At 54.1% G+C, this 20,917-nt stretch overlaps 1 protein-coding gene across 15 annotated transcripts in view, besides 1 other annotated feature; it reads left to right on the forward strand.

Moving 5' to 3' along the window:
- IQCE (IQ motif containing E) overlaps window positions 1-20,917 on the forward strand; it is a 55,750-nt gene that overhangs the window by 23,978 nt on the left and 10,855 nt on the right. For all 15 annotated transcript variants that reach the window (XM_017011902.2, NM_152558.5, NM_001410865.1 and 12 more), the window contains 9 exons: window positions 681-753; window positions 1,280-1,329; window positions 3,252-3,415; window positions 4,866-4,921; window positions 6,951-7,150; window positions 10,066-10,170; window positions 11,930-12,020; window positions 15,509-15,676; window positions 18,485-18,508. In XM_017011902.2, the coding sequence (XP_016867391.1) occupies window positions 681-753; window positions 1,280-1,329; window positions 3,252-3,415; window positions 4,866-4,921; window positions 6,951-7,150; window positions 10,066-10,170; window positions 11,930-12,020; window positions 15,509-15,676; window positions 18,485-18,508 (931 nt within the window). The remainder of the gene's footprint in view (window positions 1-680; window positions 754-1,279; window positions 1,330-3,251; window positions 3,416-4,865; window positions 4,922-6,950; window positions 7,151-10,065; window positions 10,171-11,929; window positions 12,021-15,508; window positions 15,677-18,484; window positions 18,509-20,917) is intronic.
- Window positions 2,002-2,573: an enhancer, noted in NCBI's record as "H3K27ac-H3K4me1 hESC enhancer chr7:2624592-2625163 (GRCh37/hg19 assembly coordinates)". NCBI's record gives its function as "activates a minimal SCP1, AML or CMV promoter by ChIP-STARR-seq in primed H9 embryonic stem cells {active_cell/tissue: H9 hESC(primed)}" and the evidence as "EXISTENCE:reporter gene assay evidence [ECO:0000049][PMID:30033119]".

The following is a 20,917-nucleotide window of genomic DNA, read 5'->3' on the forward strand; positions in this document are numbered from 1 at the left end:
GTGGCTACTCGCATTTCTGTACCTGACTTTCGAGTGCGAAGGGAGAGTCTTTCTGGGCTGTGTTTTGGTTTCTTTAAGGGAAACTGAGGCCACACGTCCATTGCCTTATGTCTCCTGTTCGTACAATAGTTCCCCCCTCGTTTCCTGCCGAATTTTGTCAACTTAAGTTTGCAGATTTTGTCTTATTTCAGTGCAGAACCTCCATGACTTTGCTTTCGTTTCTCTATCGATGTGTCTATCTAAAGTCTACTCTCTTTTGAGACCGAGGGGATGGCCTGACAGTGCCAGGGAAAAGTGATTCTCTCTTCCTTACAAAACCATCCATTCAAAGACGGCTTGTCCTTTCTAAGCTCCAAGGCCTTTCCGCACCATTAATCTAGTCTTTTAAAGACAGCATCTTACTTGGAGAAGAATATCTCTGGAAAAGCTGTTTACTCACTTTGGAAAGTGGCTGGTCTACACAGGAGATGCTTTCCAGCGTGAGGAATTCTCCCATCAGGCTCGAAACGAGTCACTTGTTCAAGGAACAAGTCAAATGAAGGCCCGTTCAGGCTTTTCCCTCCCATCCTGGGTCTTTTCCAAAGCCTCTCCTCTTCTGAACGTTCTGGGAAACTCTTCCTCTTGCTCTGTCCCCTGGGAACGCTGGCACATCCCTATTAACGCTGAACTTGGGTTTTCAGCAAACTCCAGACCGATATGAAGACTACCAACCTGGAAGAGATGCGGATCGCCATGGAGACATACTACGAGGAGGTGCGCCGTGCTGGGCGGCGGAGCGGAGGGCGGGCACCGAGCTGGGCGGCGGGGCGGAGGGCGGGCACCGAGCTGGGCGGCGGGGCGGAGGGCGGGCACCGTGCTGGGCGGCGGGGCGGGCACCGAGCTGGGCGGCGGGGCGGAGGGCGGGCACCGTGCTGGGTGGCGGGGCGGAGGGCGGGCACCGTGCTGGGCGGCGGGGCGGGCACCGAGCTGGGCGGCGGGGCGGGCACCGAGCTGGGCGGCGGGGCGGAGGGCGGGCACCGTGCTGGGTGGCGGGGCGGAGGGCGGGCACCGAGTGGGAGGGGACCGGCGCTGGCCCCGGGTGGTGGGCCGAGCCCAGGTGGCCCAGAGCTGTGCTCCTGGAGCCTGCTCCTGCTTCAGCCCAACGGAAAGATGAAGTGCGGCCACTTAGTTCCCGCTTCTGGCCGTAGGCAGCGGTCAGGACTGTGATGTTGGTCTTTTCAGATAAGGTCTTCTCCATGCTAGCCTTGTGTTTTCATGCATTTCAATTTGGTATTTACAGGTGCATCGTCTCCAGACCCTCTTGGCAAGTTCTGAAACCACCGGAAAGAAGTATGATGGCCGCTTGCAAGCTGTGTTTTGTGTGTTGCCTTCACGTTGTGGAAGCTCCTCTGAGAATGTGTGGCTGTCACGTGGGTGCGGCATATACTGCCCTTAGCTTGGCAGTGCTGCCAACACTGCACCTGTTCTGTTCAGGGTTAGAGTTGACACGTTTCCATTTGCAGTGTTCACAGACTCCTCATAGTGACCACGTGTTGATGGCCAACGCGTGTTCAATGCCGCCCGTGTTCGTTATAGATTCTACATCCTGCCTTCCAGCTTAGAGCTAGAAAGTGCTGTTTCAAAGCAGAGCCACCTTTTTAGGAAGACATTGCACACAAGGACAAGTTTACTTTGCCACCTAATGTTTTCCTAAATAAGTTTATCAGGAGAAACACCGAGGTTCTCCTTGTCTGGTAGATCTCCCACATCCCTTTCCCAAAGCTTCCATCTGCTTCTGGGTGGCTGATCTCTGATCATGGCTTTGGCCACGTCACTGGCCTCTGCAGCAGTTTGCTGACGTCGTGGACTGCTTTCCTTTTTCTTTACCCCTAATCCTTAAAACTGGTTGGAAAACTTTTTCTGTAAAGGACCAGATGCTAACTACAGTCGATTCTCATTATTCAGTTATAAAATGTCTGCAGGTTTCTGTAGTGTAGTGGTAATCACGTCCGCCTTACAGAGTTATAAAGTCTCCATGAACATAGAACGAGCGAATACTAAACCACTGCTCCAATGGGAGGTACAGGGCTCCTGCGAGCTTCTGCTCATAACATTTTTTTTTTTTTTTTGGCAAATGTTGCCCAGGCTGGAGTGCGGTGGTGTGATCTCAGCTCACTGCAACCTCTGCCTCCTGGGTTCAAGTGATTATCTTGCCTCTGCCTCCCAAGTATCTGGGACTGTACAGGCACATGCCACCACACCCAGATAATTTTTGTATTTTTAGTAGAGATGGGGTTTTACTATGTTGGCAAGGCTGTTCTCGAACTCCTGACCTCAGGTGATCCGCCTGCCTCAGCCTCCCAAAGTTCTAGGATTACAGGCATGAGCCACCATGCCCAGCCTGGTCACAGCATTTTCATCAGCTAGTCAATGTATAACCTGGCTAACATGTGTCTCTGTTTAAAGACACCCTGTTTAATAGTGATTGTGGATTAATTTTCATCAAACTCATGGCTGGCCTGAACGAGGCTTCTTGCACGCGCATAAGCGTCTCCACGGGGGCCCACACAGCCTTCCTGAGCTTAGAGGCACTGGACGGCACTCAGCACTGCAGTCCAGCCCACGCAAGGCAGCGTCACGAGCAAACAGCACAGAAACGTGAGAGCCACAGCGCCAGGCAGGCCACAGAAAGCACACTTGTTTTTACCTGAGCTGAGGTGAGGAGCTGAGCACCACCTGGGTCAGCCCCAGCTGGGAACGTGCGCGCCAGCGACTGGCATTTTTCATCACCTGTGCACGTGCAAGAATCCCCACAAAACCTGCATGAGTATTGATTTTCGGCTGATGGATCCATTTTAGCAGCAAGCACATTTGCAATTACGGGACCTGCAGATAATGAGGATCGACTGTACTTTACACCTCCTGGGCTAAGAGGCGAAACCCGAGCTATCCTGCAAGCACCTGGCGTAACAAGATGCCTTTCCACAGCCCTTCTAGTGATGGCATGGAAAGTATAATACTGATGGTTGAACACGGTATTTTGTTACACAGGTTTACCTTGCATAAGGATGGGGTTCCATTTTGGGTGCTAACATTTTGCTTATTTAGAGTTCAAAGTTATTACTGCCTATTCGATTTCAAATACTCACCTGCAAAAACCACTCTGAGCTCACAACCAACAGAGCAAGCTGTGATTCACCTGTCCCTCGTTTCAAGCATGTGTGAAACCAGCTTAGCAATGCAAACCTCAGTCCACGATTTGGTTGTTCCAGGCCCCTGGGGGAGAAGAAGACGGGCGCCAAAAGGCAGAAGAAGATGGGCAGTGCCCTCCTGAGCTTGTCCCGGAGTGTCCAGGAGCTCACGGAAGAGAACCAGAGCCTGAAGGAGGACCTGGACCGCGTGCTGAGCACCTCCCCAACCATCTCCAAGACACAGGGTACCTTCCTGAAAGCCACTCCAGGAGGGAGGCCAGGGAATGGCAGGGAATGGCAGGGCATGGCCACTGGGTAGGCCCAACTGAGGACAGGCACCACGAGGGCAGATGTGAACCCTTGGGCAACGCCAGTTCCCACATGTGCCAGCACCTGCCGCGGGCCACGCGATGCCCCGGGGATGGAGCCGCAAACAGAAGCTCACAGACATCCCTGGAGGAGACAATGCTGTGGGAGGGAGAGAGGAGCTGGGTCAGATGCGTGACATGTGTCAGATGGCTGTAAGTGCCATGGAGGAGGGGAGGAGGACACATTTTGGGGTGAGGCAGGTGGTGTGTGCAGCTGCAAGCAGGGTTGACAGGAAGGCACCCCCAAGACGGTGACAGCTGAGCGGGACCTGGAAGGGGCGAGATAGCCATGAAGACGGCAGCAGGCGTGGGACAGGCGGGGCAGAGCTGAGTGCCTGGGAGACACGTGGAGTGTGGCCCCTGAGGCCCAGCGGGGCGAGGCAGGGTGCCATGGGAGCCTTAGGGGTGCTGTGGGAGTGTTAGGCAGAGGGTGGAGGGGGGCCGTGCTGCTTCCCGAGGCCCCCTGGCTTCTGTGCAGAGATGGGGATGGTGGCAGACAGAGGCTTCTGCGCTTGTCTAGTCGGGCTGCTGGTGGCCTGGATGGGGGCAGCAGTGGGTGTGGTGAAAGGTGTTCAGGGTCTGGTTGCATCTTGTAGCTGGAGCTTAGGGAAACTGCAGAGAGGGTGTAGGCTCTGAGAGGGAGCAGCCAGGCTCCAAGGCTTTTTGTCCCAGCAGCTGAAAAAGACAGAGTTGCTATTTCCTGAGATGGGGGAGGCAGAGGGGCAGGTTTGGGGAAAGGCCACGGGAGGTCTGAGTGTGTGGGAGTGGGGGCCAGGCAGTGGCTGTGTGGGGGTGCGAGGCAGAGGCCTGGGCTGGAGAACTGAGCATGTGGGTCACCAGCACTTAGGTGGATCGAGTGAGGTCACCTGGAGTGAGAGGAGCAGGGGGTCAGGCCCTGAACTTGGCGGTATATGGGGGAGGCGAGGGGCAGCCAGCGAGGCAGAGGGGAGGAGTGGCTAGCGAGGGGCTGTGCATGCCAGGAAGGGGACAGGCTGAGAACCGATTGTTGGATTTGGCAGACTGACAGTCATCGGAGATCTTGATGAGAACTGTCTTAATGGCCTGGCCAGGTGGAATCGGGAAAGGATGTCACCCCGAGATGCTTGGAGGCTGTTAATACAGACATCTATCTCTTCACGATCCAAGGGGGCAGAGACTGGGCCAGCGCTGGCAAAATTCTCTGGTAGCCAGGACCTGTCGGTGTGGCTCTGCAGCCCCGCAGGCTGCTCCGGCTGCGGAAGAGGAGCCTCAGGCCATACCTGAGAAGGGTGGCCCTGCTGGCAGTGCCCACCAGGATGCCGTTTTGAAACCGCATTGCTTCCATCAGGTTATGTGGAGTGGAGCAAGCCCCGGCTGCTGAGGCGCATTGTGGAGCTGGAGAAGGTGAGCGGGCGTCTCAGTGCCACTGTCGTTGGGGACCAGGGGCCTCATGCTGTGGGGACGGGCTCACAGGGTGCGGAAGGTGGCGCTGAGCATGGCACTGGCTGTCTGCCAGGCAGCGCCACACACAGACCGCAAGGAGACTTCTTCCAGGTCTAGACAACGCTGAAGGCAGCTCTCATGCCCCTCGCTGGGCTGTGAGCTTCTGTGCGTGGCCGCAGGCAGACGCGCTTCGCACTGGAGCCCCTCACAGTCCAGCCCGCCTGTGCAGGCTGTGGGCTGTGCACTGCCCGCTGATGACCAGGCACTGCTTCCCACCACTCAAGTCGTGTTGGAATCCACAGGAAATTGTTGACCCAACTCCTGGCCAGGCAGAAATGTCGGGAAATGAACATTTCCCCACATCCCCTATGCGACTGCAAAGTAGGAATTAGGCTGATTCTATTGGAATTGGACCTTTGTTTTGTTTTTGTTTTTGTTTTTTTTTTCTTTTTTTTTGAGATGGAGTCTCACTCTGTCCCCAGGCTGGAGTGCAGTGGCGCGATCTCAGGTCACGGCAACCTCCGCCTCCCGAGTTCAAGTGATTCTCCTCCCTCAACCTCCCCAGTAGCTGGGACTACAGGTGCCCACCACCACACCCGGGTAATTTTTTGTATTTTTAGTAGAGACGGGGTTTCACCATGTTAGCCAGGATGGTCTCGATCTCCTGACCTCGTGATCCACCCACCTTGGCCTCCTGAAGTGCTGGGATTACAGACGTGAGCCACTGTGCCTGGCTGGTTTTTTTTTTTTTTTTTTTTTTTTTTTTGAGGTGGAGTCTCACTCTATCGCCCAGGCTGCAGTGCAGTGGCGTAATCTCGGCTCACTGCAACTTTTTGCCTCCTGGGTTCAGGCAGTTCCCCTGCCTCAGCCTCACCAGTAGCTGGGATTACAGGTGCCCACCACCACGCCCAGCTAATTTTTGTATTTTTAGTAGACATGAGGTTTCACCATGTTGGCCAGACTGGTCTCGAACTCCTGACTTCAAGTGATCTGCCTGTCTTGGCCTTTAAAGTGCTGGGATTACAGTCGTGAGCCACCGCGCCTGGCCTGGACCTTTGTATTTTAAATAGTAAATTAGAGCATCTGTGTTGTTTGGCCAAGCAAAATAAACCTAGAGGGAAAAACGTTTTTAAAAAATAGTTTTTTACATATTTACAACATAGAAAACTAGCCAGGTACAATGACTCACACCAGCAATCCCAGTACTTTGGGAGGCTAAGCTGGGAGGATTACTTGAGCCCAGGAATTTGAAACCAGCCTGGGCAACATAGCAAGACCCCATCTCTACAAAAATAAAAACAATTAGCCTGGTGTGGTGGTGCACACCTGTATTCCCAGCTACTTGGGAGGCTGAGGCAGGAGGAACGCTTGAGCCCAGGAGTTCAAGGATGCAGCAAGCTGTGATTGCACTCCAGCCTAGGTGACAGAGCCAGACCCCGTCTCAAAAAAAAAGAAGAAAAGGTTCTATAAATTGTGGGCATTTAAAATATAGAACTTGTTGGGAAGTCAAGGCACCCAGAGGTGGTTCGGAAGCACAGTGGGCAGCACGTCCAAGATCCGGGAGAGGCAGGAGTGGAGGGCGGGGACGGGCTCAGCGGCACTTTGCAGGCGACACCAGGATGTCACTCGAGACTGAAAGCATGAAGGCTGAAAATGTCGGCAGTTCCAGGGGACAGGAGGGAAGATGTGCAGAGTCGTTTGAGTCCCCTCCCCTCGTGCCCTCCTCTCTGTTTTAATGACTTCTGCCTGCGCCCTGGCTTGGCGGGGGTCTGCGCGTGCCTCACTTCTGATTAAAGAGACTGAGCAGGGATCATGCTCTTCCAGTAGCTTGTGCCCGGCAGCTTCTCTGGGTAACTCGGGTCCCCTCAAAGCTTTCTCATGGCCCTGCTGGAGACTCAGTTTGCCCTGGTTCAGTGTCTCTTTTCTGGGTTTGGTAAATAGAAAGTAGAAATGAGAACTAGTATCTAACACATGTCTGTGTTGCCTCCAGAAACTAAGTGTGATGGAGAGCTCAAAATCACACGCCGCAGAGCCAGTCAGATCACACCCGCCAGCCTGCCTTGCATCCAGCTCTGCGCTGCACAGACAGCCACGAGGGGACCGCAACAAGGACCACGAGCGTCTCCGAGGGGCTGTGAGAGACCTGAAGGAAGAGCGGACCGCGCTGCAGGAGCAGCTGCTGCAGAGAGAGTAGGTCCTCCCAAGGCCCCGCCAGTGTCCCCACGGGCACAGGTGCTGCAGAGAGAGTAGGTCCTCCCCAGGCCCCGCCAGTGTCCCCACAGGCACAGGTGCTGCAGAGAGAGTAGGTCCTCCCCAGGCCCCGCCAGTGTCCCCACAGGCACAGGTGCTGCAGAGAGAGTAGATCCTCCCCAGGCCCCACCAGCAGCCTCACCAGGGAAGCAGCTCTCACTCCCTATGGAAACTGATTGTTGCCGGGGTTAAACAATTGTCAATTTGGAAAACTGTTCAGCTCGTAGTAGTCACTGCATAAATATTTTTATATGATTCTAAAACTGCTTACATTTTGGTGGTAAAATAAAGGCAGCTTTAGTGATAAAAAGATACTGGCCGGGCACGGTGGCTCATGCCTGTAATCCCAGCACTTTGGGAGGCCGAAGTGGGAGGATTGCTTGAGGCCAGGAGTTTCAGACCAGCCTGGGCAACACAGCAAGACTCCATCTGTACAAAAAATTTCTTAAATTAACTGGGCGTGGTGGCTCATGTCTGTAGTCCCAGTTACTCAGGAGGCCAAGGCAGAGGATCACTTGAGCCCAAGAGTTCGAGGCTGCAGTGAGCTATGATCATGTCACTGCACTCCAGCCTAGGCAACTGAGTGAGACCTCAACTCAAAAGTGTAGGGAACGGTGGGAGAGCACATTTAAATCTCTCTACCCTGAATTCCAGAGGAATCTTCAAATTGTCTGTTAGAGAGGAATTGACTTTCATTGGTTTATGTAAAATCAATTCGATTTTATGCAGCATGGTCTTAATTCAGTAATATGTTTATGGGGGATATGATCTATTAATACGTAGGAAATAAAGCATAAATGCTCCAGCCTGACGCAGTGGCTCACGCCTGTAATCCCAGCACTTTGGGAGGCCAAGGTGGCAGGATTGCCTGAGTCCAGGAGTTCGAGACCAACCTGGACAGCATGGTGAAACCTCGTCCCTACAAAAAATACAAAAATTAGCCAGTTGTAGTGGTTGAAGCCTGTAATCCCGCCTATTTGGGAGGCTGAGGTGGGAGAATCGCTTGAGCCTGGGAAGTCGAGGCTGCCGTGAGCTATAATCGTACCACTGCATGCCAGCCTGGGTAACAGTGAGACTCTGTCTCAAAAAAAAAAAACGAAGGAAGACATAAATGCTATGAAATAGTTGGTGTGACCACAGGGCTGGGAAGGCAGGGCCTCACCGGGGGTTCTGGAGTTCCATGACCTGTGGCCGTGGAACACCCGGCCTGGCTCCTGTCCTCCTCCTGTTGATAGCTCCTCAGGGCTCGGCTCCTTCATGAATCAGCCACCTCCATCATCTTTGGAATGATGTTTCTCTCTAGTTTGCAAGAACTACAGTGACTGCCCCTCAGAGTGGCCTGTGAGGCCAGCAGCAGCAACAAGAGCTAGGAGCTGGTTAGAATGCAGCCACCGAGGCCCTACCCCAGCCTTCGGAATCATACTCTGCTTCCAGTGGGATCTGCGGGTGATTTTTTTTTTTTTTTTTTTTTTGAGACAGAATCTCACTCTGTTGCCCAGGCTGGAGTTTAGTGGCACAATCTGGGCTCACTGCAAACTCTGCCTCCCCAGTTCAAGCAATTCTCATGCCTCAGCCTCCCAAGTAGCTGGGATTACAGGCATGTGCCACCACACCTGGCTAATTTTTGTATTTTTAGTAGAGATGGGGTTTCACCATGTTGGCCAGGCTGAGTCTGGAACTCCTGATCTCAAGTGATCTGCCTGCCTCGACCTCCCAAAGTGCTGGGATTACAGGCGTGAGCCACCGCACCCGGGCCTGCCTCGGCCTCCCAAAGTGCTGGGATTACAGGCGTGAGCCACCGCACCCGGGCCTGCCTCGGCCTCCCAAAGTGCTGGGATTACAGGCGTGAGCCACCGCACCCGGGCCTGCCTCGGCCTCCCAAAGTGCTGGGATTACAGGCGTGAGCCACCGCGCCCGGCCCTACAGGTGATCTGTGTGTACTTTAGGGACTGAGAAAAACTTGGCCGGTGCCTCCCGGCCAGCTACGTTCTCTGCTGCCTGCTGTGAACAGTAGAAGGCCAACCCGTCACCACTGTCCTTACCCCTCACGTGAGGTCTCGGAGTGCATTTATGCCAATTGATAGGTCCTTTGTAAAAATTAGTATTTCACGACAAGCTTTTCCAATTAAACAATCATTACAGAGTTCATAGACATTAGGTAAAAAACATTAAGGTAGTCATTATGAAAGGTAAATCACTTCTGGAAGGATCTGTGATGCTGTCAAGTGGCGTGACAAGAGCCACCTCTTAGGAGCCCTTACCGTGTGACAGGGGCTCTGCGAAGCACTCTAGGGTTGCTGGCATTTAATACAGAGACTCACAGGCCCTGAGCAGTCGGGGCTCGCAGACAGCATACAGTCCATCTGAGACTCGGACAGAAGTCTCCGTCGAAGGCCAGTGTGTGGCCATCACACCGCATGGGACGCAAGAAACGCATCTGGGAGCAGTTCAGCTGGAGCCCCGCACAGGCAGTGCCACGGTCTAGGCGGGGCAGGCCCCTGCCCCATTCACGGACCCCGCGCCTGCCTGCAGCACCCTCACACGGGTGCGAGGTCCGTGCCAATGAGTGGCGGCTGGAGGGGCAACTCCTCATTCTATGGCCTGATGGCAGGGCCTTCTCTGGCTTAGTCCGGTTGATCCCCTGCACACAGCAGGTGCTCGGTTCAGGGCAGGCAGAGCCCTGAGGTCTGTCCTTGGCAATGTGTGATTAGAAATGGGCCTTTTGTGCTCCTCCTGCCCCACCATCCACTGTCCTAAGGAAGGGCTGAGCACTGTCATTTTCTGAAGTGCCTTCCTGCTCTGACATAACCTACAGTTTTTGTGAACGCTGACGAGTCTCCTATTCTTGTGTGCAGTTTGGAGGTGAAGCAGCTCCTGCAGGCGAAGGCCGACCTGGAGAAGGAGCTGGAGTGCGCGAGGGAGGGCGAGGAGGAGAGGAGAGAGCGAGAGGAGGTTTTGAGGTATGTGACCCGGGTCAGGGCTGGAGAGGACCCAGGCGAGTCCGCACTCCTGCTACCACTGCGGCCCCCCGTGGCGTCTCAGCCTTGCTGCCAGCCGGCTTCTTAGAAAGGCCACACCTCCTCACAGTCTTTCATGGTTTTCTGTCACCCAGCCCGGGACTAACCTCTTGGTGCTGAGCAGGGCCTGCCCTCTGGCATCGTGGCCACCTCTCAGGGGCGTCCTCTGCTCTGGCTGTGCCAGCACCTGCCCCTTCCCAACCAGCTGTCACACTGGCCTCTGGTCAGAACCACCCAGGTGTGGGCCACATCCTTAAGAGGGGCCGCCCGTGCCCTCACAGTAATGCCATTCGCGAGAGCCAGGAAGCAGCGCCCACCCCACGGCCCATCAACTGCTGGTGGACAAACACCCTGAGGTCGACCACGCGTAGGCGCAGAGTGGACGGAAGCCCTGACCGGCCCGGCCCGGGGACCCTGGAAAACCTGGTGCTCGGCAAAGAAAGCCAGGCACAAAAGGCCGCGTAGCACACGATTCCTTGCGCAGGAAATGTCCAGAACGGGCGGACCCACGTGACAAGTGCTGCTGCTAGGGGCTGGGAGGGGAGCGAGGACTGCTGACGAGCATGGCTTCCTTTCTGGGGCGATGTAAACGTTCTGGAATTAGAGAGGGGTGGTAGCTGCACAGCATTGTGAAGATGCTAGAATTCACTGAATTATACCCTTTAAAATAGTGAATTCTATGTGATGAGTCTTAACTTTTTAAAATGCACAAAAAACTAGGTTAGAAATCTGAGCAGACATATTTAGCACTCAGAATAATTAGTAAGACATAGACTACCGGAATGAAGAAAACTGTGGCCGGGCACAGTGGCTCATGCCTGTAATCGCAGCACTTTGGGAGGCCGAGGCGGGCAGATCGTGAGGTCAGGAGTTCAAGACCAGCCTGACCAACATGGTGAAACCCCGTCTCTACCAAAAATACAAAAATTAGCCGGGCACAGTGACAGGTGCCTGTAATCCCAGCTACTTGGGAGGCTGAGGCAGGAGAATAGCTTGAACCCGGGCAGCAGAGGTTGCAGTGAGCAGAGAGCATGCCACTGTCCTCTATCCTGGGTGACAGAGCGAGACTCTGTCTCAAACAAACAAAAAAAAAGAAAACATTTCATTTTCAGGAGAAATCTGACTGAATTCTGTCAGAAGACTTGAATTAAAGTAAATCTGAAAGGGCACATGTGCAGAAATGAATTTTTTTTTGTTTTGCCTTTAGTACCTGGAATGAATATCTAAATTGCAATGCCTTCTGTTCATACTGTTTACTAAAACCCCAGTGGTCAGTGGTCCCTGCTTATTTATCTCAAATGCTTGGGCTCAAGCGATCCTCTGGCCTTGGCCTCCTAGAGGGTTGGGATCACAGGCGTCCGGCCTGGCCTCCTACTTACTTATCATTCACACAACGGATTCTTTTTTTAGTTCTTAGTTGTTTCAGGAGAGGTGCTGGGCCCTGGGGGTCCTCAGCCACGGCCTCGTGGGGCTTCCAGCCCAGAGCAGGAGACAACAGGAAGTCCCGGCCTGCGATGGTTTCTGGTGTTGTCAGGTCATAGCTGGAGCCCTGTGGCTCAGGGAGACATGGCCCCACCAGCTCTCTACAGGCTGCCTGGTGTCCCCCTGTCTCCGCCTGGACCGCCCGCCCCACCCTGCCCTGTGCCGGCCTTCATCACATAGTGACAGGTGAGGTGTCTCATCTTTTCCCTTTCCGCCTTAGAGAGGAGATTCAGACACTTACCAGCAAGCTCCAAGAATTGCAAGAAATGAAGAAAGAAGAGAAAGAGGATTGCCCGGAAGTTCCTCATAAGGTACAGTGACCATTCAGTTGAGTCTCCCGTCAGGTGCGGTGAGACTTTGGTCGTGACGGTTCTGACCGTTTCCCTGTCCAGAGTTTTTTCTGACCAGCCACTGAAAATCCCACTCCCCTTTATCATCACCATTGATTTCTATAACTCATGTCGTGTGTATCGAAGTCCGGGTTTTGGATTAATTGACTGTCAGCAAATTGACTTCTCGAACTGATATTTGAGTCTCAAGGCTGGTGAGTAAAGAGTTTTCCAAATCTTGGTCATGCGGAGGGTGTAGTTATGCGGCCGGAGCTGTCACTGAGAGGCAGGAGGGGCTTGGGGGGAAAGGACGAAGGCTCAACCAGGCCCCTGCATGGACCTGGGCATGCGTCCTCTCCTCTCATCTAAGTTCCAGAACACAAGTTGGCAAAGCCTCAGCGGGCACTGCCCTCTGGGTGGGGTGGGGCTTCCTGTGCCCTCCCTGCCGTCACTCAGCTGTGCACGGGTTGAACGTGGAGTGACTGTTAGCAGGGACCCGGCAGGTGAGCAGGGACCCTAGATGGATGCTCTCCTGCCTCTCCACTCCCTCAGCGTGTGTGGACGCTACCCGGGGGCAGCTAGTCGCGGCGGCGTCTCTGTGGCTCCGAGGTCCCTGGCTCTCTGCTGCCTCCCTGGAGGGTCGCAGCCATGCTCTGCTCACCATGGCCGGTGCTGCACTTGCCTCCCTGGAGGGTCGCAGCCATGCTCTGCTCACCATGGCCGGCGCTGCCTGCACTTGCCTCCCTGGAGGGTCGCAGCCATGCTCCGGTCACCATGGCCGGTGCTGCACTTGCCTTCCTGGAGGGTCGCAGCCATGCTCTGCTCACCATGGCCGGTGCTGCACTTGCTTCCCTGGAGGGTCACAGCCATGCTCTGCTCACCATGGCCGGTGCTGTACTTGCCTCCCTGGAGGGTCGCAGCCATGCTCTGCTCACCATGGCCGGCGCTGCCTGCACTTGCACTTCTGGTGGTAGAAGGGCGTCCTCACAAATCCCCTTCCAGTGGGTAGGAGGATCCTTCAGAAGGCAGATGTGAGCCCATGCATGTTCAGACGAAAAGCAAGGAACTTGGTGTCACCATCCTGAGGCTGCAGTTTGCTCTAAGAGGAGCTCATGGATAAAACCAGTAGAAGCCACCACCTATGGTCCCAGCTGCTCGGGAGGCAGCGGTGGGAAGATCGCTCGAGCCCAGGAGGTGGAGGCTGCAGAGAGCCAAGGTAGCACTGCTGCACTCCATCCCGGGCCACAGATCCAGACCCTTTTCTCACTAAAAAAAGAAAAGAAAGAGAGAAAGAGAAAAGAAAAAGGTCTGAAAATAGAGGAGAGAGAGAGAGAGAGAGAGAAAACAAAAGTGTCTGAAAACACTATTGAAATACAGCCTTTTCTGTGTGGTGGGGTTATAAGCATTTTTTTTTTTTTTTTTTTACTTTCTTTTAGTATTGTCTGAATTTTTCGTAATAAGCATGTATTAGCTTTGTGTTATTTTCCTACTCAGGAAACATTTCTATTTTAGAGAAAAGGAAGAGTGGGATTAATTGAGTGATCAGCTCTCCAAGTAGGGGATCAGCTCTCAGCATTCACATGGGAATGATTAATTGTAGGTTAAATGGAGTGAGGAGAGTCGGTTTAAGAGTTGCCTCAAGGAATTTATAAGCGTGTGAAAATTTAGACTTTTTTAGCTGTCTGTAGTTGTGTGAGTAAATGTTCATTTATCTTCGGAGAAGCTGATTTTCCTTTCTGATCACATTGGCACAGGCCGCGGACTAACAGATGATCTCACTTTAGCGGAACAGAGGCCTGAAAATGTGTCAGGACTGAGGGAAGATGAGGCTCTTCTTAGGGTTACAAAATCAGAATGTGGAAGCCAAGGGCCGGAATGCTGGTGCCAAGCAACTTGTTGCCACAGCTAAAGAGATCTGGAAACAGCTGGCTGTGTGGATGTACCCAGGGCATCTTCGTCAGGGATGTTAAGATGTGCAGACACCCAAGTGACCATCCTAGGAAGATTACACTCCCAGGTCCCTAGAAACAGGAGGCAGGGCACGCAAGGCCACGCAGGAGCGGCGCGTCGGCCAGGAGGCGGCAGGGTCGTGCGGAAGACCTGGGCCAGGGCCTTTATCATGAGAAGGAGAGGGCGAGGTGAGGTGAGCCGGCTGGTTAGGGCCGGCGGGCTGGAAGCTTGAAGAATTTCAGCAGGATCTGGGCCACAGGGTGGTCTTCAGCTGTCCCGCACCTGGCCCTGGGTGATTAAGGCTGAGAAACACTGCCTTCTGGAGTGTGGGGCCCAATACAGGAGGCGATTCTGAGTATGGGCACCAGATTAGCTGCTCGCATAGGATGGCCGTGCCCGAAGGCAGGCCCTTCACTGTCTAGGAATTGGCCAGGCCCAGAGGGGCAGCAAGGCCCCAGATGCCCAAGCATCGTTAACACACAGAAAATGAAAAGCCAGAGCAAGCCGTTCTGTGTTTGTTGAAGTCTGTGGACAGGCCACCTGCGCCTGGCGCCTGGCCCGGTGTGCACTGGGAGCAGTCTTGTGTCTCCCTCCGGGGAGGGCTTTCAGCAACAGCGTGCTCTCCACCGAGCTTGCATTCTTGACACGAGAGGCCTTTTCATTTGTATTGGGTAGTGTCCTATGGATGATACATTTGGAGTCATCAGTGTTAGAAATCATAATTTTTCTTTTTTCTTTTTAGAGACAGGGTCTCACTCTGTTGCCCAGGCTCGACTACAGCGGCACAATCATGGCTCACTGCAGCTTTGACCCCTGGGCTCAAGCGATCCTCCTGCCTCAGCCTCCCGAGTAGCTGAGACCACAGTGGTGTGCCACCACACCCGGGTATTTTTTAAATTTTTTCATAGAGATGGGGTCTCGCTATGTTGGCCAGGCTGGTCTTGAACTCCTGGGCTCAAGGGATCCTCCCTGCTTGGCCCCCCACATTGTTGGGATTACAAGCATGAGCCACTGCGCCCAGCCTGAAATCATGGTTATTTCAATGGTCGTTATAGCAATCCTGGCTTGTTTCTACCTTAAAAACCATGCTAGAAATATATATCAATCCCAGAAATCCCATGTTTATAATTTAGAGTATTAAACTAGAAAACAGAAAAGGACCCCAGAAAAACAGACAATTCTTGCAGGAACAAAATGTGACTGAGTGTAGTGAGTGTGTGACGGCCGTGTGAAGAAGCGTCCTCTCTCCCTCCCAGGAGGCACTGCCAGACAGAGTTAAGGGAGTTTAATGAGAAGCACGTCTGCACTTGTGTGCTCGCCTAGACGCTGTCTCTCAGCAGTACAAGAGACCGCTGTCATGTGGTCTGCAGACCAGTGTGGAACAGCTCTCTCCTCCACATTAGTGAGACTCACCTGATAAGCGCAGCCGCACCATGCCGGGTAATATCCTGTCCCCTTGCCGGATACTGGTTGTCCCTGCCCTGGCTTCATTGTCCTCTTACTCCTTCAATTTCCTGCAGGCCCAAGAGCTCCCAGCTCCCACTCCCAGCAGCAGGCACTGCGAGCAAGACTGGCCGCCGGATTCCAGCGAGGAGGGGCTCCCGCGGCCCCGCTCCCCCTGCTCTGATGGGAGAAGAGACGCCGCGGCCAGAGTCCTGCAGGCCCAGTGGAAGGTGTACAAGCACAAGGTGAGGCTCCCCGGGGCGACCCGGGCTGCTCCCTGTGAGTCTTCGTGCTCCAAGGCAAGCCACTCACTCTCCAGGAATGACTGGGCCTGGAGGGCCAGCCAGGCCCCAGGTGTCTGAGCACCGTAACATACAGAAAATGAAAACCTCATTCACACGCTGACACCTCCGTTCTGGGTGCGTTTTGTGCAGTAGTGGATAACTCGCCAGATTTCTTTCCATCCAGTTTTCTTCCAGAACTATTCGAAAGTAAGTTTTAGACGTTATGAAACATCGGCATGTATCTTCTAAGAAAAAGTGTCTTCTCCTACCTGACCACAGCACCGTGACTGCACCTAGGGCTGCCAGCAGTTTTACATCCTCACCTAACGGCCCTTCCTATTCACATTTCCCAAATGTCCCCATATGCCGCCTGCCGCTATCTGTTTCCCGCCAGCATTCGGTCACGGCGGTTCTCAGTCCACATCCCATCGGAGCCTGGGGGTCGGTTGGTTACGTCTCCTTAGTGTGGTTCACAGCAGCCCCCACCCTTTCTTTTCTTTAACCAACAGTTCACCCTGACCGATTTTGTTTGTTTGTTTTTCTGAGTTAGAGTCTTGCTCTGTTGTCCAGGCTGGAGTGCAATGGCATGATCTTGGCTCACTCCAACCTCCGCCTCCTGGGTTCAAGTGATTCTCCTGCCTCAGCCTCCCAAGTAGTTGTGATACAGGTGCTCACCACCACGCCCAGCTAATTTTTGTATTTTTGGTAGAGACAGGATTTCACCTTATTAGCCAGGCTGGTCTCGAACTCCTGGCCTCAGGTGATCCACCCATCTTGGCTTCCCAAAGTGCCAGGATTACAGGCATGAGCTACCACACCCGGCCTTTTTTTTCTTTTTTCATAGAGACAGGGTCTCACTCCATCACTCAGGCTGGAGTGCAGTGGCACAATCACAGCTCACTGCAGCCTCGACCTCCCAGGCTCAAGCAGTCCTCCGGCCTCAGCCTCCCAAGTAGTTGGGACTACAGGCAGGCACCACCACACCTGGCCAATTTTTGTAGAGACGGGTCTTGCTGTGTTGTCCAGGCTGGTCTTGAACTCCTGAGCTAAAGCCATTTACCTGCCTCCGCCTCCCGGAGTGCTGGGATTACAGGTGTGAGCTACCACACCTAGATTTTTTTTCTTTTCTTTTTTTTTTTGAGATGGAGTTTCGCTCTTGTGGCCCAGGCTGGAGTGCAGTGGCGGGATCTCAGCTCACTGCAACCTCCGCCTCCCAGGTTCAAGCGATTCTCCTGCCTCAGCCTCCCCAGTAGCTGGGACTACAGGCACACACCACCATGCACAGCTAATTTTTGTATTTTTATTAGAGACAGGGTTTCACCATGTTGTCCAGACTGGTCTTGAACTCCTGACCCCAGGTGATCCACCTGCCTTGGTCTCCCAAAGTGCTGGGATTATAGGCGTGAGCCACTGTGCCTGGCCTTTTTTTTTTTCTTTTCAAAGACATTTTCTTTGGCAATGGGCAGGCCAATGTGTTACAGAACGTTCCCTTTCCTGGATCTGTTTCCTTGTGGGGTCATAAACTTATTCCTCTGTCCCCTTAATTTCCCATAAATGAGAAATAAGGTCTCCAGCTCTGATTCACCCGGGTTTGCTTTTGGCAAGAATGTCTCACGTCGAGGCTGTGTACCCCATCCCCTCGGGACGTGGATGGACCAGGCCGGCCCCTGTTTGTGTTTCTAACCTGGCCATGGCTGCTGGCTTTCGCCATTTTAAAGAAACGAGTTTCCCTTGGTAACTGGCCGGCAGTCTACAGGGGAGAGTTTAGCTCCCTGAGGTCTGTCCCCACCACCTTTCCCCTTGTGGTCTTAGTGTCCTTCCCGTCACAGCTGTCTCCGTCTGAAAAGCAGTTTCCTTATTAGCGGGGCCAACTCCTCGTCCTCCCGAAAGCGTGGGAGAAAACTTAGTGACTTCCCTTTAGGTGCTAAGCAGATGCTGGCTTGTCTGTCTGTCTCACTCTTATTCAGTGTATATATTTCTTTGCTTCCATCGTATATTCTGCTGGTCCTTGTACTCAGTTCCTCCTTAATCTCCCAAGGGAAAGATCCTGTGTACAGTAGTACAAATGTGGGACGTGCACTCTGATGTACCTGTCATCCGGCCGTGGTGGTCATTCCGTGCCATTAAGTGCACATTGATTAACTTGGCATCAACATCTGGGGAGGACTTCGCTCACATCTATAAGAACACATGCTCCGAGGGACCCTCTCTACTGATTGTGACGCTGCGTGTCAGCTGCAGCCTGAGAAACTTCCCAAGACACCCAAGGGTGACTGATGACCAGTCAGGGTGGGGCCAGTGATCCAGACCCCTGAACCAAAGTCCCCTTCATAACGTCCCCAGCAGGCAGCCTCAGCCTCCGAGTTCTGGGGCTTATCCAGAGAGCACAGTGGTCCGGACACCTGTGCTGTGAGAGAGCTCTCACATTGGGCCCACATCCACCTCCATAGGTGCACAGCTTGGCCTAATGGAGTCCCTTCTGCACAGCCAGGGGACTGGCACACGGCACAGAGACGTCCCTTCATCTGCAGCTTGGGCCACCTCATGTGACTCCTGGAGAATTCCCGCCATCCTAATTCTGCCTCTCACTTTCGTCCTCCTTACAAAGGCGTTTGTTTGCTGGGTCCCGGCAGCTCGGGAGGGAGGAGCCAGGGCAGCCAGGCCTCTTGTTGGCTTGATGGACACCTGTTGGCAAGATGAAGGAATCAAAACCACATTCATCCTTCTCGTGTTAATTCATGTATTTTTTCTTTCTTTTTTTTTTTCCAGAAAAAAAAGGCTGTTCTGGATGAGGTAAGCGAGGTTTATTTCTTGTTTCAAAATTCGGATTTGTATTTTGTTGAAAAGTAGGTGAGGGGATATTTAAAGATGTGTTGATTCCTTTTCTTTTTTTTTCGAGATGGAATCTCGCTCTGTGGCCCAGCCTGGAGTGCAGTGGTGCAATCTTGGCTCACTGCAACCTCCGCCTCCTGGGTTCAAGCGATTCTCCTGCCTCAGCCTCCCTAGTAGCTGGGATTACAGGGATGCACCACTGTGCCCAGCTAATTTTTGTATTTTTAGGAGAGACGGGGTTTCTCCGTGTTGGCCAGGATGGTCTCCAACTCCTGACCTTAGGTGATTTGCACATCTTGGCCTCCCAAAGTGCAGGAATTACAGGCGTGAGCCACCGCGCCCGGCAAGTCCTTCTTTTCATGAAACCAAACCAGACCCCAACGTTAAGTATAAAATACATGAGAAATAGAGACATCAAATAAATATTTCGATAATTTCCCACTTTCAAAATCTCTTCATTCATTCCTTCCTTCCATTCATTCATTCTTTTCATGCACACTCACTGATCACCAGCCCTGCGTGGGGCAGTCTCAGAGGCCCTGGGACGCAAAGGCTCAAACACACAAGTGAACGAGTGGTTACAGCCCGGGGTGGCGCTGGGGGTGGCCAGCCCTGCACACAAAGGCCAGGAGGTCCCTGCGAGGGGTGACATGCAAGGTGGGCCTCGCAGGATACATCAGAGCTCACTGGACCGGGAAGTGAGGGGAGGGCATCCCAGCAGAGCCGGTGGGACAAGGAGTCTGAGACGGGGCCAGGGCATGGAACTGGAATGGAGGTTGAGTATGTCACCCACAGCTGAGAACTGACAGATTGATGAACAGTGCAGTTCCAGCCATGACCCTTTTTAGGGAGGAGCTAGAAAGTGAGATCTTTATTTTGCTGGAGTCCTGGTGGCCTCTGAGATGCTCCCCTCTCCTCTAGGGCCCCTTCAGGGACAGCAGTGTATTTCCACTTAGACTGCAGGAGAGGACCCCGCCTCAGTCACTCAGAGCTGGCGCTGGGCCACAGGGCTTCTCACGCTGCCTTCCTCCTCACCCACAGCTGCTTCTAAGTGGCAGGGCAGACTCAGCACCCGCTTGTCCTCACACTCCCCAGGTGCATCTGATGTCAGCAGGGTTGACAGCTCTGCCGTCAGGGCGGGGCTTGACTTCCCCCTGCCCCACCCATGTCCCCTTCCCCTTGGCCACATTACTCATCCACAAGTGTTTGCTGGGCTCCTGCCATGTGCCGGGCACCAGAGGAGCTTGTAACAGACCAGCCAGACACTGTCCAAATTGCACGGGGTTCATACTCTGCAGTCAGGACAGCCAGTATGGTCGCGGGTGTGGGCGGCACACCAGGCTCAGTGGCCTGCGCGCAGCTGCAGTGGGAGCATGTTGCCATCTGATGGCCAGGCCACAGCCACACGAGCGCCCTCCACGAGCAGACAGCTGGACTGCCCACCTGGCCCACCACACTGCCCCTGAGGAAGGGACCCCTGCTCGCCACTGCCCTAGTCCTCAGCCTTCGGTTCTGCAGCCCCTCCGTGCCTGGCCTCCTGGTCCCTAGACCTGCCCCACAGACACACCCTTGTCCATACCCATCTCACACATCTGCAATGGCAACTTCCAACATCCCCGTCTCTGACAGTCCCTCCCATCCTCCAGCAGCCCTCAGGCCCTCATCCCGAGGTCTCCAGCATGTCAGCCTCCCACCTGTCCACCCACCACAGCCTGCCCAGGCTCCCGGTCCCCACAGCCCGCTGCGGTTCCTAGCACACGCCCCTGCCTGGCATCTCACTTTGTGGTTATTCTTGCCAGCCTCCCGTCAGAATGCAAGCTCTGTCTTTTTGCCACCACACCTCTGGTGCCTAGACTGGCGCCTGGCATGTGGGAGGCATGGGGTAAATGCCCTCCAGTGAGCGGGTGAGGGGATCCGGGCTCCTTGTCCGATCGGCCAGTCAGTGGTGGGTGCCGTCTCCCCATCCTGCTTCTCTCCCTGGCGCCCCCCATGCCTCAGGGGCCTCGTCTCTAAGTAAAGACAGCAGTGAGGCTGCCTGTGTGGGGCTGTGGTGAGCGTGGGGTTTGCCAGTGTGTGCGCAGTGTGTGGCGTGACGGAGATGCGTGCCCCTCTCACCCCTCCGGCTGGTGCAGAGCCTCCCGTACCTGGCAGCCACTTTACCGGAAGCTTCTGGGCAGCCTCCACATGGTCACCACACTCTGGCGGGTCGTTCACCGTTAATAGCCGGCGCTGCCTCGCCCTCCTTTGCTGAGCTCTTTTCCCACCCTAGCTTTAAGACAAAACAAAGGTGCTTTCTGTTCCAACAGCGGCAAGCCTGCTAAACTCACGTGGCATGGGGCTCGGTGGGCATGCTTGTCATTCTTCTAACGA

The sequence above is a fragment of the Homo sapiens genome, chromosome 7, assembly GCF_000001405.40.
Source record: "Homo sapiens chromosome 7, GRCh38.p14 Primary Assembly".
Lineage (NCBI taxonomy): Eukaryota > Metazoa > Chordata > Mammalia > Primates > Hominidae > Homo > Homo sapiens.